A 20,202-nucleotide genomic window follows, 5' to 3' on the forward strand; every position below is an offset into this window, starting at 1 on the left:
AATAAGAGTGAGTAACAGCTAAAGAAACCAGGGAACTGTAGCGGTAGAGTGTAGCAGTGAAAATATTTAAGACTTGATGAAACAATGTCCCTTGCATAGACCGATGCTTTTATAGGCACTCCGGACCTGCAGTGGACTGTTTCTGTTCTCCCAAAATCCATACGTTGAAATCTAATCTTCAATGTGATGGTATCAGGAGGTAAGGCTGGGAGGTAATCAGGTCACAAGAGTGGAGCCCCCATGAATGGGATTAGTGCCCTTCTAAAAGAGGCCCCCAAGTGCTCCCTTGCCAGCTACTGGCTGAGGACACAGTGAGAAGACAGCTGTCTATGAGCCATGAAGTGAGCCCTCACCTGACATCAATTCTGCCAGCACCTTCATTTTAAACTTTCCAGCCTCCAGATCCGTGAGAAATAACTTTCTGTGTTTATAAGCCACCCAATGTATGTTTTGTTTTGTTTTTACAGCGGCCTGAATAGATTTACAGCCAAGAAAATTAGAGAGGGGATCCAGGTTGGAATTAGTCTTCAATCTGATTACTCAATTATGATGACTAAAAGCCCTACTGAGCACCAGAATTCTGGTGATTTTTTTTTCCCAAGGTAGCCTAACATAAGGCAAAATTGTAGCATGAAGGAAGGGGATGACTTCTGAGAAGGCTTTCTTCACCTTGTACAGAAACCCAGGAAGTGGGTTGTGGACACAGGTTTGCACATGTCACCTTGTGGTGTGCATATGTGCGTGCTCTTGGGAATGTCATCCCTCCTTATTTTACCTGCATGTGAAAGCAGCAGGAACCTGTGCTAGAAAACAGAGACAATTAGAAGATAGCTGTGCTTTGGGGAAGCAAGTCAATTGACTGAAAAACAATTTGCCAAATGTCCAATTTGTGAGATTGTAAGGATGTTTAGAAGATTTTCTTTTCCTCTTCACCCTATACTTTCCCTGTCCCTGTCTGTGAAGTTGGCCCAGACTATTTTGTTACAGAGGCAGGGTCATGTTCAGAAGCAGGCGCAGGAATTAAACTAAAACATAAGCAAAAACCCTCAATGAGTCAGTAAATTGGTCATTCATCAAGTTAATTTTAACAAATTGGCTTTCAACAAATTGGCCTGGAGCCCTACTTTGGCACCTTCTTCTGGAAATGTCTTCTTTTCCTCTTTTAGTCCTTTTCCGTTCAATGTTGTACTTCACCTAGACCTTGAGATTATGCCATTCACAATTATAATCTCAACATTCATCACTTGCCTTGGGAGGTACAGACTTAACTGTTGGCTGGCTAAACGTTTATGTGGAATCTTAGAGGACTTGTAACACTATTTAATGAAACACTCAAAACATTCAAAGTCTAAAGGGGGATGGTGATTTGGAAATAACTTCTCTTACCTATTCCTACCTGCCCTCTGGCTTCATTCATGGTCATAGGGCCTCAGTTTTTGGACAGAGAGCACCACCATTTTTGGCCATGCATTCTCTTTTTCCACAGCCCGTTTATATCCATCTGGTCACCACCTGCCAATGAAAAGTAAATAACAATGACTGCTCCCTCCACTGGCTTCTGTCCCTGGGGTGAATGGCCAGGAGTTTGAGCCACTGCTGGACAAGAGCCGTTGATTGCTTGAAGGCTGGCAAGGACAGCAGAGCCCTCATAGTGAACTGGCCTCTGCAGGAGAGAAAAAGGGATAAGCAGACATGCTGCACTGAGATTAGCTTCCTGCCAATTTCTCCTGAATTTTCCTAAAATAAAAGTGCATTTTCTTCCCAGCCTGATTACATTTCAAAAGCCCTCTTCTACTAGCACAGCCTTGGTAGATGCTGGACTCTAGAGAGGATTAAAGGTGGTGGGAATGGTAAGGATGGTGAATCCGGGATTAAAATTGCCCTGCCACACATTGGGTCAGAGCAAATATTTGTGAAGCTTGAGTTATTTGCAGTGCATCATTATGGTTTCTGTATGGGAAATGCCAAGTTATACTTCGATGTGCAGGGAGATAAAAATATATTTACCAACACAGGGTGTTATGTGTTAAATGGTAAGGTGCCAGAATGCTCATAAACTTGACCAGTACAAGGATGTTGTCAGAGGTGGTGTGGGAAGCAAAATTGTGGATCAGGTGCTGAAATGATTAAAGAAGATGGAAGACTGAGCTGACGACAGTATGCATTAATTAATGGAAAGGTATGGCCTGAAATGTAAAAGAGGAGATGTAGTTGAGTAAGAAGTGCAGCATCCTTTCATCTATCACACTGGAAATCCAGCAAAATCTGAGACCAAGTGACTATTTAAAGTCAACTATATAGAACTCCAGAGCTGGGGATGATTTATCTGCAGGAAGAAACCAGCTTTGCTCTGGGCTAAGAGTGAAAGCATATTAAATATGTAGCCTTTTAAAGAATCATATTTCTGTATCATCTATACATATATATATATACACACACACACACACTATTTCATATATATAATGGATTAAAGCAGATCATAACATAATAAATATCAAATTATTCATGTTCCTCTTTTGAGCCTCATTCTGCAGAAGGAACACTTTCACGCTTTAAAAAAGACAGGATCACCTCTGATCTATGAACCATTTTATTTCAAATACATCTTACTGTTACAATTTGGCCTACTGCTTGGTGGGGAAAGGCCTTTCCACGTTTCACTCACTGCAGAGCAATCCAGCTTTCCTGTGATATTCATCTGATGTTTATATCCATCTTTTGAAATATAGGGGCTATTAGATCAGAAATATTCCATGAAGAAGGGAGCAAAGATTCATGTCACTGACAACTGGAGAAGAAACAGAGAAAGGGTAATAATATCGTGGGACAGAATGGAGTCCCTTCCAGATCTTTGGAGGGCTAGCACCATATCCTTCCCAATCATTTATTGCAAGGCTAACTAAGGTCCTGAAGAGTGGGCCCCTTCAGTCTGAGGCCAAGAGGCCGCTGACCTACCCTGATATAGACCAAACTGTGCTTAGTTTCCCTCTGGAAGCACCAGAATAGCTGCACTGGTTGTACTGTGTCATTTCAGAATGCTGACCTCAACCCTTAGCCCATTTGTTTGCTGACACAATAGTTCTTTTTTTTTTTTTTTTTTTTTTTTTTGAGAAAAATAAATCTTTGTACTGCAGTTAGAAATAAAGCTTAAAGAAAAATCACTGGGATTGGTGACATGTTGCTTTAAGTTAAAAAATGGCTCTGCAAGGTGGGTATCCAAACCTTTGCAGCTGTTCTCCATGCAAGAAGAACAACTCAAGAGCAGCATGTCATGGGCAGCTCCCAGGAAAGGAGGAGAGAGGCTGGAGGCACCAAACCCATCCAAGCACTCAGTACTTGCAAAGGCGCTGGTCTCCTTTACTATCCAAACACCTTACACTTTCTAGGAATTCAATACACACGGATTAAAGCCCAACTTACTAAAACTAGTTATTTAGCATTAATAATTTGAATCTTTAAGTTTTAGCTGGTGAAGGACTATATAAGTTTTTATTTGAAAATCAAGCGTGTTTTTCTTTCTTTCTTTCAAATCAGGTACTCATGATGTGTGACAAATGGCATGCCTCCTGCAAGAGTTATGAGTTATGTGCCTAAACAGGAAGGATCATCTCATTGCAGAATTAGGGCATCATCCAGTGGGAAGGGAGTTTCAAGGTCATTTAGTCCAGCCTCCGAGTGATACAGAAATTCTCTTTGCAGCATCCCTATCACGTGGCCATCAAACTTCTACTAGTGTATTCATCCACACCTGGTCTGTCTAAAACCTTGAGAACAGCCCCTTGTATAGTTCAATAGCCCCAGCTGAAGGAAAAGTTTTTGTTATTTTCAGTAAACATATTCTGTTGTGTAACTTTGGTTGATCGGTTCCCCTTTAGCGACCCAGAAAACACTGAGCTCCCTCTGACACCCATGCCCTTTGACTGAAAGTCAGCCATAAAATAGAGCACCAGAGTAACTTTCCAGAGTCCCAGATTTGCCCCTTCGCTCCACTGCAAATCAAATGTGTGACCTGTGTTTCAATTCAATTAGCCTTTTCCTAAGGGTTTCACTGTTTCTGTTCCTGTGAGTTTCTTTTTTAAAGATCTGTATTTGTATATTTCAAGTGGAATTTTTTTTTTTTTTAGCAAACCACAACATTTTATTTTAAATTGAGAGATATGGTTTGATTTTTATTTTTATTGTGGAAAATTTCAAACATACAAGAGTAGATATAATATAGTAATGAATGCCTTAGTATTTGTCACCCAGGTGTAAATATATCAAATTGTGGTCAGTCTTTTTTTTTTTGAGACGGAGTCTCGCTCTGTTGCCCAGGCTGGAGTGCTGGAGTGCAGTGGCGCCATCTCGGCTCACTGCAAGCTCCGCCACCTGGGTTCACGCCATTCTCCTGCCTCAGCCTCCCGAGTAGCTGGGACTACAGGCGCCCGCCACTACGCCTGGCTAATTTTTTCTATTTTTCAGTAGAGACGGGGTTTCACGGTGTTAGCCAGGATGGTCTCGATCTCCGGACCTCGTGATCCGGCCGCCTTGGCCTCCCAGAGTGCTGGGATTACAGGCGTGAGCCACTGCAGCCGGCCAGTCAATCTTATTTCGTCATTACCCTCACCCCTGCTTTCTCCTCCCTGGATTGTTTTGAAGCAAATCCCACATACCATACAATGTCAGCCGTACCTTCTCATATGAACCTGGGAGCAAATTCTCCAAATGACAAAATCAATGGAAGACATTTGGGGGGCCTTGCCCTTATAGTGGGTGCTGGAGTTACAAAGGTGAATACAATTGTGCCACGTTTCGGTCTTTTTGGAAAACACTACCCCTCATGTGTCTGTAAAAATTGACTCTTCTTTTTGTGCTAACACTTCCTTTTTTGGCCAAAATCTTTCTAAAAATAGACAGCAAGCCCCCTCCTGCTGCCTGTTTCTTAAACTTTCCTCTCATGAAGGTGAGCTAGGATTGTACAATTACAATGCTTTGAGAATTTTGTTCCTTTTGAGCTGTCTTTACTTTTCAAAGCCTCTAGTCATGCTATTGGACCTATCTTTTCCTCTAATAATTAAAAAAGTCTCTATATTGTGTTATTCTCTGTCTTTTCATCCCAGTTTACTATGATTAACGTGGTTACCATCTCCCCAGGTTCTTCCCGTTCATTTACCTTCACCATTTCATTTCACCTTGCATTTCTTCCCAGTTGCTCAGACTTCACTTCACAGTAGTAATTTTCTTTTTCTTTTTTTGTACCTTCTGAAAGGGCAGTCTAATGACAAAGTCAGTCGATAATTGCTCAGAAGATCTGTATTCACCAGAAAGAGTCTTTCTGCTGATATTCAGAAGATCAAATTTTAAGCTCAGCATGAACCAAGATCCAGTTACACTGCACACACACAAACGGAAAAACCACCATAGTATGTATGAGGGAAAGATCAGACCATACAATCATTATGTGATAATGTATTAATAATAGATGGTATAATGAACCAAAAATTAGCTTGGCAACACTCCCAGGTACTTTTCATAAAATAATTTCCATAACCTGCTTTGCCTATGAAGAAGGGAACACATTATCCCACAATTACTTGGGGGTGGAATGATTAGCGTGGGTCCAGGACGCGGCCCGGGGACTCTGTGGTTGGCCTTACACCTTTCCAGACAACGTCCTTGGCCTCTCCCCTACTACAGCATGTGTAGCTGTGTGTGGGATGGAGGCTAAAAGCCTGGTTATGCTCCACAGAATGAATTCTTATGTCCCTGAGCTCTTCTCAGAAAACATGCAGGGAGTCTCTGCCAGCTGCAGAAGTTCAGCTCCTAGGAAGAGGGGATGAATTTCTGTGTTTTATTTCAATGGTGTAGCATGAGTGTGCAGAGCCAACAGTATGATAACTGGTGGTCCTCACGTATGTCTTGGCTACATCATCCTGTGACATGGTCCTGAGGCTGACCAGGGGATGGAGCTGACCGTCAGAGCCCCAAATTTAGCATGAGGCATAGCCAATATATGGGACAAAGGTCAAAATTTATGTCACAAAAGGTAACCTGGGACTTGCCTGTCACTGCAGATCCTGCACTCTACAACATAGCAGTGTTTAGTGCCTGTTTAGGTTGTAAGGGTCATCAGGTCTTCTAAGGAGTCACAGCATATATAGCTATATTTTCTGAATATAAATCTATGTGTTAAACGAAATGACACAGGACAGGTCATGGAGAGCATAGAAGAACTGTGTTTGGAGACTCATAAGTGCTCTGGTCTGGGCATCAGAAACTTGATACAGTTTGCATCACATCCAGGAGGAAGGATCATTCAGGCATTTGGATTTCGTTGCATTGCTGACATCTGTCAGAAACCCAGCTAACAGCCATTGGCATGAACAGCACAGTTAAAATGAAATGGATCTATTCCATGAGAAGCTCAAAACTGTAGCTGGTTTACAAAGTGTTTTTGTCTAGCCACATGCATCATCAATTTAATATTTCAATGTTTCAAGTTTATTTCCATGAATGAGATTTCATTTACCCCCACACACTCACTTAACCTATTGAGTGGTTCTAAGTTATTAACAAATACAGTCGCCAAAAAGGTGATTATTTTAGAAAGAACAGAGAAAACCTATCAGTTACATCTTTATTTATCTTAGACTTTTAGGCAGCGCCTCTAGAAAGTGCTGAGCAGAAGCTTAATATGGGAGTGAAGAAAACCAACTTGTTTATCTACCTCTAAGTCACAAAGGCTGTTCTGCACACAGCTATGAACTTCTGGGAATAGAAAAGCCACTTAGCAAGTTAGCAGGTGAGGTCAGAGTAGACGCATATTCTCTGGGCTCATAAATTAGCCAAGGAAGAGACGACACCCTAAATCATCTTTATGGGGCCTAAACTGTAGAGTATCAAAAGCAAATGCATATTTAGATGTAACATATTTGCCAAAATAATTGGACTTTTATTACATTTCCCCTGTGACCTTAATGACCTTGCATATATTTATCTTCCAACTAGACAACATATTTGTGGATACGTGTTACTCACACATAGGTTTCTGTTAACACTCAAACTGAACCACTCAAAAGGGGTGTCATTTGTGAAGTCCAGGGAAAATCATCATAAAGGCAGCTCTTAACACCTAGGTCACAGGGAGGCTTATTTGCCTAAAAGAAATGCTCATGTTACAAAGGGGTCCTTTCTGCCATTTTTGTTTGAAAACAGACTCCTCTAAAATATGCCGATATCTGTAGAAAAGGAGCAAGAAGAGTTCCCCTCCAGAGGCTGCTCCCTGGAGAGTCACAGAGATCCTCGCATTTCTCCCATAGTATTCTTCCCAGGCTGCCCATTTCAGCGCAGCATTGACCAACACGTTTCAAGTCCATAAGCACTTCCAAATGTTGAATTAGAGAATCTCATAATATATCCACAGATTAATCGAACTAATGATATTCATAGGTAGCCAGGATGGGTCACGTTTTTCAGCTTGTAGTTAAATAAAATCACATCTCTTTCTCTTGTATGCCTCCCCTCTCAATTAATTTTTCAGTTCCCACAGTTTGGTTTTTAGAAAAATATCCAGTATAACCTATTCAGGTTCCCTCCTACTGCCTTGTCCAAGAACACTATGGACTTATTCATTCCAAAGGGTTCATTCTGTACAAGAACACTAGGCAGCCGGTTGAAGAGAGAAAAAACTGGAAAGTCTGGTCAGTGTACTAGTTACTGATGCTGACACCAGGCTCTACTGCTAGAAACTGGATCTGCAGAATCTGAACCAGCCCTCCCTGGCTAACACTCAAAGGCTTTTGGTTGCACCAAAGTCACCCGGGCAATTGACCACATTCCTTCTTGTAGGTTTCTCTTTGGAAGACTTGGTTTCCATTCTTGCCAACGGATCTTTAAGTCATCCAGATACAAACTATCCTAACTTCAAACACAAAGTTCAGTCCTCGGTTCCTTGCTTCCCTGAAGCCCCAAGGATTCCACACCATTTATTTATTTAATTAATTAATTAATTTATTTATTTATTTATTTATTTTTTAGGGCACAGAGAGGGAAGCCTTCAAGTAGCAGAAGGCCCTGGTCTATTCTTTTCCCAGAACAGTTGAGTGTCTCTTCAACCTACCTAGGTATCACCAAGCTTTGGGTCACCCTATGCAGAATCAAGAATCCCCACTCCAAGAAACCTCATCATAGAAGACAGCACACTTGGAAAGGATCCTACTCCACTCAATGCCCAGTGACACCTGCCATTCTTTTGCTTTGCACAGATTTCTTAAAGTGAAGGGTGGAAATATCTCTGGATCATGTCTTTGCTCTAGTCTCTGTTATTGTGTTGTAATCTGAGAAAAATCATTTATTTTCTCCATTAAGAGTAGACTAGGAATTTTCTAACTTACCAGTTTAGTAGATCAGAAGTTTTTAAAGCTTTTCTTTAGCCTCAGAATCCTTTTTATTCCCTACATTTTACAAGTATGAACTTTTACTATCATATTCTCAGGTGTTCCTGAGCCATAATCTTACTTTCTGAAAGCAAATTTTATTTATTTTTTAAATGTTATGTTAGGTTCAGGGGTGCATGTGCAGGTTTGTTATATAGGTAAACTTGTGTCACAGGCGTTTGTTGCACAGATTATTTTTTCACCCAGATACTAAACCCAGTACCCAACAGTTATTTTTTTCTGCTCCTCTCCCTCCGCCCATCCCTCACCCTCAAGTAGGTCCCAGTGTCTGTTGTTCCCTTCTTTGTGTCCCTGTGAGTTCTCACCATTTAGCTCCCACTTATAAATGAGAACATGCAATATTTGGTTTTCTGTTCCTGCATTAGTTTGCTAAGGATGATGGCCTTCAGCTCCATCCATGCTCCTGTAAAGGACGTGATCTCATTCTTCCTGAAGCCAAATTTTAACATATGACACAGAACCCCCAATTTTTCTTAGGTAGAGAACTTAATCTAGTCAATCCCATTTAAACCTAATAAATTTTGTTGATGTCTCTATCATGCTGGGTTGAAAAATCAAGCACACTGAAGGCTATTTGCCATTTTCTACTTCCTCACTGAGAGAGGAATTTTATAAAATTAGAGGCAGTATCTCAGAGGAGAGGTAGGACGCTTTATGATTTTATATTTGTATCCCTATTCTAGCAAATGTTCTGGAGTTCGTTTATAGAACCAGCTTCCCCTCTGCACACAGAGGGTCGTGCTCAACCCACCCTTCCAGTTCCCATCTCATCTGTTGCGACTTTGAATGCTTCTTCTAGAAGACCAATTGCCGAGGCCTGTAGGCTCCACTGGCCCAAGGGTAAAGAGACATGGGCCTGCCCCATTCACTCTCTGTATTGCTTTGGCCATTCATCTAATCTCTTTGAGTTTTGGTTTCCTCGCTAGTAAAATAAAGAAATAAGATGGTCTCAAATCTTCTCCCACTTTTAGAATTATACATCTGATGAATTATGAACACTCAGATTCTTGGATTCTTCCAAGTCCTTTAAAGCAAACCCTATTACTCCTTGCAAGTAAATATTAGACAACCTCAACCCCTATCAATTCTGCAATTTACATGCAGTTCAAGTAGCTGAAGCATACTGGGCTTGCTGCCACTTACTCTAACCTGTTACAGTGATCTTTGGACATAAAAGTTTTGTCTGTTTCATTCTAAAATCAACAACATGAGGTATTGCAGAGCCACAGGGTAAGAACCTGGATATGAGAATGGAACAGCACTGGAAGTCAGCCAAGCACGATTTGTATACTAATTCCAGCTCTGAAATGGACTAAACACCCCGGTTTCATCACTCACAACTCCTGTGCCTCATTCTGATCACCTGCAAAGTGGACATAACAATGCGCTCACTACCTCCCTCAGAGGATGGTTGTGAACTACTTAATCCCAGACCAGCCACCAGGTGCCACAGCCAGAAGGTCACCCCCGTTCCAGAAAACTCTTTATTCCTGGTAGGGAGTTCTGACATCACAGAAGACTTTGAAATCCTTTTTTTTTTTTACCACAGCTTACTTTGTGGCTTAATCCCTTGCCTACCTTACAACACATTCTCTAGCATCCATTTGATATAAATATTTATATTTGCATATATATATATAATATGCATATATTTTACCTAGCACTTATCTATGCTTTGTCCATTTGATCTGATGCATATATATTTTACCCAGCACATAGTAAAAATGTAAGTTGGTTATTTTTATTATTACTGAAATTATTTTTAGCATGTTTACACGTTTGTTTATGCCATCGGCTTCTCCTTGAGGTCCTTTTTCTTCAATGCATAATTATCCAGCAAAAATCCATACATCTTTTGTGGGAAAAAGTGAAAGCGTTTGAGCTTCTGTGTTCACAAAACTCTTGTAACAGTTTTCACGTTTACTTTTATTGTGGTTATTTTTGCATGTATTATTTTTCTTACTATACGTATGCCCCTGGGGATCACCACACTGTGTATGTTTATACAGTCCCAAAGCAGCTAGCATGTAACATTTCCCGTATGGAACTCAATAAATACTCAATACATTATTGACAAAGACTTAATGAAAACAGACCCAAGAGCCCAGAAATCATTTCTTGGCTGTGTAGCTTGCTTGATTTGGACTTGCCATGTGGTTTAGACAGGGCAGAGGGTATTTTCCGATCAGCCCAAAGTGGGCTTCATTATGTACCTGATGTCATTAAATCCATAGCCCTATCTGCCCGAGAGTCCATTCCATTTCTGAGTGTGTCTGTTAGGCTGAAAGCAAAAGTCTTTATAATAGGATTAGACATTTTAATAGCCCCTAGAGAAATAAAAGCACTTCATGAAGGTTATTTTTTTCTGAATAAAAGCAGCCTATCCATATAACAGAAAATGTGTAGTAATTAGAAAATATCCTGTTTCCCTGAAATCATAGTACCAATAAATGACATTTATTGGGTTTCTATCTTATGCCACATATCAGATGTGTTATCTTGTTTAAGCTTCACTACTGTGTGGTAGGAATCATTATTATTCCCATTTTACAGATGAGAAACTGTAATTGAAAGTTGCCAAGTAAGTTGCTTAATGTTCACAATTAGCAAGTGATAAAATAATTTGGCCATCACCAGAGCTCTCTATCTAGACATAAATGTTTGGAAAATTTCTGATCAAGATGGCGTCCCTATTCCAGGACTCTCTGCCTTTGCTCTCTAGGATTTCTGAATATGAATATAGAAATAGACAGGAGTTTTCATGGTCACTGTGCAACCTCTGTTCAGTTTTGTTTTGTTTTGTTTGTGAGATGGGCTCTGACTCTGTTGCCCAGGCTGGAGTGCACTGGCATGATCATGGCTCACTGCACTCAACCTCCTAGGCTTAAGTGATCCTTCCATCTCAACCTCCCAAGTAGCTGGGACCACAGGTGTGTGCCAACATGCCCAGCTAATTTTTTTTTGTAGAAATGTGGTCTCACTATGTTGCCCAGGCTGGTCTCAAATTCCTGGGCTCAAGTAACAGTCCTGCTTTGGCCTCCCAAAGTGCTGGGATTATAGGTGTGAGCCATCACACTCTCTTCTCAGTTCTTAAATCTTGATATCTTTTCTCTCTCTTCTCTCCTCTTTTCTTTTCTCTCTCTCTTCCTCTCTCTCGCTTTGAAAAAAAAATAATAAACTTGGCTTCCTCCAACTGTCATCAGTGGTCACTAGAGGGGCTTTCCCAATACTCAGAAAAACACATCCCTGTTGCTTTTTGTCAGAGACTTTCTATGCATGACTTAGGCCTCATCAGCAGTAAAAGCTCAAGCAGTAAGGGTGTCTGCTGCCAGGCTGCACTGACTTGGAGGAGCAGGGGCCGGGCTTGCTGTACTGCCCTACTCAGTGCTGGAGGTTTCACTGTCATTCGTGACAACAAAATTATGTCACTTTCACCTACCAGGACAGGCACCAAAAAACCCATTGGTACAGCCCCTTCCCAACAAGAGAAGCCAAGGGGCAGCAGCTAGTCAAGTCAGGTGCAGGAGAGCAGAGAATGAGAGGGGGATGCATTGAAGGAGGCGGCACCTGGGTAGGTGTTTCAGGGAACAGGCCCCTTCTTCCAATCATGGGGAATTTCCCTTTTTGTGAAAGGGAAATTCAGAATAGGAATTCCTATCAATGACAAGGCCATGTAAGTGGCACAGAAAACATAAGTAGTTGTTGAGCCACTTACGTGGCCCAACATGTGATTGAGTGACTCTTTTTTTGAGACGGAGTCTCTGTCATCGAGGCTGGAGCACAGTGGCACAATCTCGGCTCACTGCAACCACCGCCTCCCAGGTTCAAGTGATTCTCCTGCCTCAGCCTCCTGAGTAGCTGGGATTACAGGCACGTGCCACCACGCCCAGCTAATTTTTATATTTTTAGTAGAGACGGGGTTTCACCATGTTGCTGGTCTCAAACTCCTGACCTCAAGTTATCCACCCACCTTGGCTTCCCAAAGTGCCAGGATTACAGGCGTGAGTCACTGTGCCCTGTCGACTGAGTGACTCTTAAACTATTGCGGCATGAAAAGCTGTCCCTTCTCCTTCTATCACCTACCCTTTCCCTGAGCAGCTGAGGGTTGAATGCAGTGTGTCTACTCTCCAAGTCGCTCCAACGTAGATCACTTGTATTACAATTGATTTTTTTTTTACTATTACCTAACAGCTCCATCTGTTACTAATCCATAACAGATGCAAATTTTTGTACACTTTATGCATTTTATGGACTTTGGCAGCAATGGGCATTTTCTTGTTTATGCCACTCTCAATCAGTTAATGTTTTCTAGGTTTTCTCCCCCTTACTCCAGTTCCTAAACAGATACTCCTTTCTTCTGAGAACACAGGCAAAGCACACAATATTGATCTGATTGCAGAGTAGAACCCTCCCGAAATCCCGAAAGCCAATTACCTCATACTGCACAGTACAGTAAATTCTAGGATAACCTTAGAAAGGGAGTCAGTCAAGTGGTTTATAAGAAAAGAAACTATAAAAAGAGTGCTCTTCAGATTCTTCCCCTGCTATAATCCAGTCAGGTCATATTTTATTGGTGCTCATTATTCAGGCAGACAGTGATAACTGTGGAAACCATGGAAACATATTATGGCCAAATTGATGCTGCTTCGAAACGCCAGTGACTCACGCTGTGGAACACTAACCATGATCCATTAAGGCGCTTCTTGGACTTTTGTCAAGAGGGCCCTCCACGTGTGCATTCTAGGTGCAAGTGCAGCCACAACTCACTTGGAGAGTGAGGGGGCTCTCCAATATAAAAGGCAACTCATCAGACTTTTCCCAGAATGAATAAAAAGATATCACAAGTTGCACATCATCCTGGATCAGTTTTATTCCAATGAATCCCTTAAGTTACAAGGCATATTTGAATACTCCTAAGTATTTAAGACACAGTGTGCACTCCCTAGCACACACTCTCTCTCCTCTTCTTTAAACCTAATTATTTGCCTCTACATTTTAAAACTTCAAATAAGAATATGCATTGTCCTTGTAATTATGCTCATGAAAATGTCAGATTTCCATATTCTACATCTGATAAAAATAAATACATCTCAGCGGATCATTACATTTTGTTAAATTCCCAAAGCTATGAACACTTAAGGCCACATCCCACTTCAGAGAATGCCACAGAGACAGCTTAGATTAAGGATGCCTCTTTTATTTATAATCTTGAACACAAATCCTTTACTAATATATGAGATTAAAGTATAGCATTAAAGAGAAATTTTCATAATGTAAACATTAATGATAGTTTCAAATTTTTTATTTCTTTTTTTAGAATAAATTATGCAATGTGTTCAGTAATGTAAGTAGAGTAGAAATTTTTTAAATTATCAAAATTTATCAAAAACTATCAAGTATTTATCAGCCGTGTACAAGGTATTTCTTATTCATGTGATGCCATCTCAGTCGATGGCAAGGCTAGAATTGTGAAGTCTTGGCTAGTGCACCATCCCTCTGAATATTTTGATCCTATTTTGTCTTGTCATCTTCTAAAATGTACCAATCATTTATGATTGCAGCAAATCAATAATCAGAAGACTGAATTTTCTGACAATGTTAGCCCCGATATGAGGCTGAAGTTTCAATCATGCTTGTATAAGCATAGTTGAAACTGAATAAATTATAACTTTTTTATTTTTGTATTTTAATAACATCTTTTTAAAATAGTTACAAAAGGAATGTATGTTCAGTGCAGATAATTTTAAAAACGGAAAAACTACGGAAGAAGCAAGGATTACCTATGATTCAGCCCTGATACATAATCATCATTTATATTTTGCTATGTGCCCTTCTACTATTTTTGTTTGTTGGTTTGTTTGTATATTATTTTAAAGAAATAGTATTGTACTCTCACAACTTGCATTTTATTATTTGGCTCTATATTGTGAATGTTGTCTCATCAGTATATAAGTATTTTCTGTAACACTTTCAGTGACTAGATCTGATGCTGTAGTAGATACGTAAGAACTTTTATAATCACATTTAGATTCCTTTGAATTGCCTGTTTTATAGATTATGCTGAAAGGAGCATCCTTTTATGTTGAACTTTGGCCCCATCTTTAATTATTTACTTAGGATACATCCCTACAACTACTTCATATAGGAATCATAAGGCCTAGGAAATCTGTTTTCAATTTCCCTTTAGAAGTTTAATTTATTCAGCACTGTATGAAAGTTCTCAATGGCCAAGTGCGGTGGCTCACGCCTGTAATCCCAGCATGAGGTCAGGAGTTCGAGACCAGTCTGGCCAACATGATGAAACCCCATCTCTACTAAAAATACAAAAGTTAGCCGGGCATGGTGGCATGTGCCTGTAGTCTTAGATACTTGGGAGGCTGATACAGGAGAATCACTTGAATCTGGGAGGTGGAGGTTGCAGTGAGCAGAGATTGTGCCACTGCACTCCAGCCTGGGCAGTGGAGTAAGACTCCATCTCACAAAAAAAAAAAAAAAAAGAAAAAAAAAGAAAATTCTCAGTATCTCACACTCCAGCCAACCTGGGGAATTATGAATCATTTTAGCTCTACCAATTTGATACATGATAAGAGAATCTCACTCTTTAAATTTGCATGTATTTGTTATTAATGATCTTTAACATTTTTCATAAGATAGTTTAAAAAATCATCTGTATTAATTGCTTGTTTATTGCCTTTTCCTTTTCAAAATATGTAGGTATCTATCTTTTCTCTGTAGATCTGTAGAATCCTTCCACTCATTTGACACTTTGCCTGACACATTTTTCCCCAGTTTGTGACTTGTCCTTTAGTTCTGAGAATCTTGTTATTGAGGTTCAGAAATACTCATTTTAGCTCACCAAATCTCTTTTGTTTACCTTTATAATTTCTATTTTTCATTTTATTTTTCCAAAGCCTTCCTGGACCCAAGATATTTGTTCATATTTTCTCAAAGTTTTCTTATTGTTTCATTTGCATTTAATTTTTAAAACAATTTCTAATTAATTTTAGTGTATAGTAAAAGACTACTCTCTAGCATATTTTGCATCACAGCGCACATAGAAACATACACGTTTTCATGGCACTCTGGGGTAAACAAATGAGGCTGTTCACAGCTAGGGTTTATCAGCCACCTGGGCAACTGAGATGATCACATCCTAGCTCATCTGTAACCAAGTCCCAGCAAGCCATTGTGCTGTGGCATTTCTGGTATGAGGCAACTGAAGACATGACCTTTTAAAATATAAGTAACCAACCATCTAAGTTATTGAACAATTTGATTCTTTCCCCCACTTATTTGAAGGGTCATTTTATTCACGTAATTAAAACTTCTATACGTGGTATTTTCCTAGTATTTCCACCCTGTTTCATTGATCTGAATGTCCATCCTGACACTAATACCACACTGTTTCATGCTTTATAGATTTTTAATATGTTCTAATCTTTGATAATGCAAGTTCCATCTTATTTTTTTTCAAACATTTTAATTCCTACCAGTTTATTCCTTTAGATAAATTTTAGAAAATTTCTCAAAAATTCAAATGTTTGAAGACTTGAGATTGCATTAAATGTAAACATCATTTAACATCAACAGAATATTGACATCAACAGAATATTTTTGTTTTCCCACTTGGAATGCACTTATTCAAATCATCCATGTGCCTTTCAATGAAGTTTAGTAGTTTTCTCCATATAGCTAAATACTTCTTTTCAGGTAATTCCTAGATATTTGTCATATTTGTTGCTATTTTTAATTCTATATTTTTCCTATTATATTTTCTATATGATTATTATTTACAATTTTCTATATGATTATTATTGGCTTAAAAACTATAAATATTTTATTTCCAGACAGCTATCAGACCATAACATTTGTTTGTCATATTCTGTCTGTAAAGACACTAACTATGGAGGAAAATATTGCTCTGTTACTGTCTTGGAATATGCAGTATAAACAGAAAGAATAATTCCTAATTATTTGAGTGGCTCCTTATTTTTAAAAAATATATTTGTATAAGGGAATACTTTTGGAAGAATCACAGAATATTCTCTGAATTTTCTCAATTTGATTTTAGCTGTCACGTCTAAAAAGTTTACTAAGATGCATTCTTTGAAAACAAAGGTATACAGGCTGAAATATTCAGAGTACTTTCTAATTTACAGGCATTTTGGTTTTTAATAAATCTCTCTGTCAAATTTCCCCTAGTTATTTCCACATTCAATCGTAATTTTACCAATGATGTTTGCGATGGCAATAAAGAGATACGATTAGAGTCAAATGAATGGCTCTCGTAAGCAAATCTTTTCCTACAGTAGTACCAAAGTTTAAGAAAATGAAAGACTTTAATGAAACATTTTAAAGCATAAAACCAAATTCTCAAATTAGAACACAAATGAGAAGAAATATTTTTTCTCCCAAAAGTATGCCTAAAGAGAGAGGCGGGGATGAGAAGGTTGTGAAATGCTTTCACCATCTTGCAGAGCACTGAATACTTTCCACGGCTGCAGGTAAGTATGTTTTGGAGAAGGGGGGATAAATCAGCAGATCTCTGATTTTTTCAGGGACTAAACAGATGTTTAAACCCATAACACTCAGCTATTTCAGATGCATGAAAACTGCTCTTCGGCTTTATTGAATTGCTGGTTAATACACAGGAACTAAATTAGGTCTATAATTTCAGATGCCCTTTTTTAATGACTCATTTTTCTGTCAATAAAATTGACAACAGAGACCAGCACAGTTGCTTTGTCCAACTCTGATCTGCCCTGCTGAGTCATGTGACACAGTCTAGTGTTGCCAGATAGAGGCTGTCACTCTCCCCTGGAGTTTTCATGGAAATAAGATTTGAGAAATGTGGCCTGTGCAAGCCCAGGGAGGTTTTCAACAGACATGAGGGATGGCATCAATCATTCCACAAGGTCTCCCATAGGGCATTTCCATTGATAGTGCAGCCTTTATTTGTGTGTTCAAAGATAAAGTAAGTCCCTTTTTCCGGTGAAAGTCGTCTCCTTTGGCATGAGGCTTCCTCTGCTGACCTCAGAGCCTCCTAAATGATTTAGATAGCTTATCTCACCTCCCCCCATCCTGTGAATAGAGAAGAATTTCTAAGATGAAATAGGGAAGTTAGGTTTGACCGCAAATTTAAGTAACGGAAAGAATTTGTAAATTGCAGAATGTGTTCATCACAAGGGAAAATTTTAAATAATCCTTTTATGATTGTTTTCAAGGGAAAAAAGTGAATAAGCCTCACCTTTATTCTTTATTCATTTTCCCTCATTGATGTCAATCTAGTCATTTATTGGCATATGTGCCCAACCTCTACTCATGAATATTGGACATTTAATGACATTAACAAGGACAGATACATAAGCTTGCCAAAGGAATCATGTAAGTGATATGCTGAATAAAAGCCACGTTGGTGATAATCCACTCCACACACACACTCGCACGTACACACACACACACACACGCACTCCTCCACTTTTAGATGAGAAAAATGAGAAGGCTCGAAGGAAACTATAGGAGGTCAAGTGTTAATGTGTCAACTGTCACTAAGGTAGAAATTATCAATATATTTTAAAGCACTGTTAATAATTTTTAATTAATTTAATTACTCATTAAATTTAAAATAAAATGAGATACTTTTGAAAACTGATTCTGGCTATTCAATGAAACAAATATCAGTGACCCTTAAACATGACAAAATGCTCATTCTCATTCAAAGTAAAAGAGAAAAAGTAAAACACTGAGATAACATTACACATGGATAAAACTGGCAATGACTGTTTTTAAAAGTTAACATGTTTATTGATCAGGGTTTGGAAAAACTGTCACTCCTATCCACTGTTGCTGGAATATAGCTGGCAGAAGGTCTACAGAGAGCAATTGGCCATATCCATCAAAATTACAGATGCGCCCTACCATTAACCCACCAAGTTTCATTTTTAGGAATTGATTCTTTTGATGTACTCATACTCATGCAAAATGTATTTGAGCAAAGATATTAATTGAAGCACTTCTGGTAATACAAAAAAGCCCTAATGTGTACCAGCAGAAGGCTCTTAAATCTATATCTTTAACTTATAAATATGTACAATAAAATACTTAGCATTTAAGAATGGTAAGGCAGATAAATATGTGAAAGTTCATATGGTATAAGTTTAATTATAAAACCATGTTCAGAATAATGTGCAAAATATAATTCTATTTGCTCATGTATGTTTATCAGTGCATAGAATAACCCTAAAGGGATACATAAGAAACCAACAAAAGTGGCTAATATAGGGATAAAAATAGGAAAACTTGTTAATTTATAACATGTGCAGATGTTATCCAGACCAAAGAAAGATAATTAAATAATTCAAGAAAGAAAAAAATCTAGAAAAAGAATGAAAAAACATAAAACAATTTCCTGTGTACAGTCAATTCAACACCACGAGTAAAGCACTTACCATATAAAAGGCCGTAGTAGGCCTTTATTAGTAATTATTTTCCCCATCTTTATAAGATTTTAGAGTTTGAAAGCATTTTCCCCAAATCGATGCCAAAACTTGGACCCATGCTGGCTCCTTGTTAGCTATGGGAAAGTCATTGTATCTTTTTAAACTTTTATATCTTTCTCTTTGTACAGTGACTTAAGACTTCTATCTTCTTTGCAAATCAAATGTAATGCTGAAAGATAAACCACAGAATTGCACTTCTTTTTTTTTTTTTTAGCAAACATGTTTCATAATCTTAAAAATTGTTTCTTTATTTGGGAACCTTAGAAACAGAGTAGAATATCTTAATGTCAATCATCTTAATTCAAAGAACTAATTTTGTAAATCATTTCTTTCTCTTGTATTTTCTCTGATTTAAGTCAATATACAATATTTTAGCTACTTCTCTTCTTATTTGAGTTTTTGTTGACAAGCTGCACAAACAGCATTTATTTAGCTGTTAATGCAGTGAGTTATTTAACTTTGACCTTTACTGATCAAATCCATGTAACTAATGGGTGTGCAGCAGCCACTCCCTGGGTTACCCTGGGCACACTGTCCTCTTATGCTACCAATGTATTTTGCTTTCAGATTCCCACAAAACCAGTTTCTTACTCACACTGTATTAGTTTTGCTGAGGCTAGGAGCTGCTGTCAGCTCTGATTAGATTCTATTTCTCACTACAAGCATATTGTGGAATGTGCTTCCATAATAAAATTTAGTCTGAAATAGACTGTGTGCTAAAGGTCAAACTATCACAGCCTTTGGCTTCCCTCTAGATTCTAAATTAATGTTCCAGTTCATGAATCTTCTCTTCTATATTTGTTGGCAGGGTGGCATAACCTTAGTGGAAAAAAGTTCTCATAATCCACCAATCTGGCTCCATTGTCTTTTGGTGGTGTTACTTGGAATAGGTTAGATTCTGGGAATCTGAAATGCTTGCTACTCTAAAATTAAGTAATCAAGGTCTCTGTATCTCCTTGTCAGCGCTTCCTCTGAGACTTGTCTCTTTATTGGATATGCTATTTCCCTTCCCCTTCGTACACTTCCATAACACTAGTACCACAAGAGAATGGGGAAGCTCTTTACAGCATTGATTTACAAGAGATAATCAAGACCCCATTGAGTTTCCCAAGATTTTAGAATTGACTCTCAATTAATAGGCCTTTATAAAGTACCTATTCTTTAGCTTCAAAGAGTATGTAATGTAGTTGAGGAGATGAGAAATACACATGTGCATAGATAATAGAAAGCAGTAAAGAGTGATGCTAAATAAATGATACATGAATTAA

At 38.7% G+C, this 20,202-nt stretch overlaps 1 long non-coding RNA gene across 1 annotated transcript in view, besides 1 other annotated feature; it reads right to left on the reverse strand.

Moving 5' to 3' along the window:
- STXBP5-AS1 (STXBP5 antisense RNA 1) overlaps positions 1–20,202 on the reverse strand; it is a 363,227-nt gene that overhangs the window by 17,844 nt on the left and 325,181 nt on the right. Inside the window, exon 8 of the long non-coding RNA NR_034115.1 lies at positions 1,387–1,512. This is a non-coding gene — a long non-coding RNA (STXBP5 antisense RNA 1). The remainder of the gene's footprint in view (positions 1–1,386; positions 1,513–20,202) is intronic.
- Positions 11,758–11,837: a silencer, noted in NCBI's record as "silent region_17645". NCBI's record gives its function as "represses an Ori minimal core promoter by ATAC-STARR-seq in GM12878 lymphoblastoid cells {active_cell/tissue: GM12878}" and the evidence as "EXISTENCE:reporter gene assay evidence [ECO:0000049][PMID:35858748]".

The sequence above is a fragment of the Homo sapiens genome, chromosome 6 (assembly GCF_000001405.40).
Source record: "Homo sapiens chromosome 6, GRCh38.p14 Primary Assembly".
Lineage (NCBI taxonomy): Eukaryota > Metazoa > Chordata > Mammalia > Primates > Hominidae > Homo > Homo sapiens.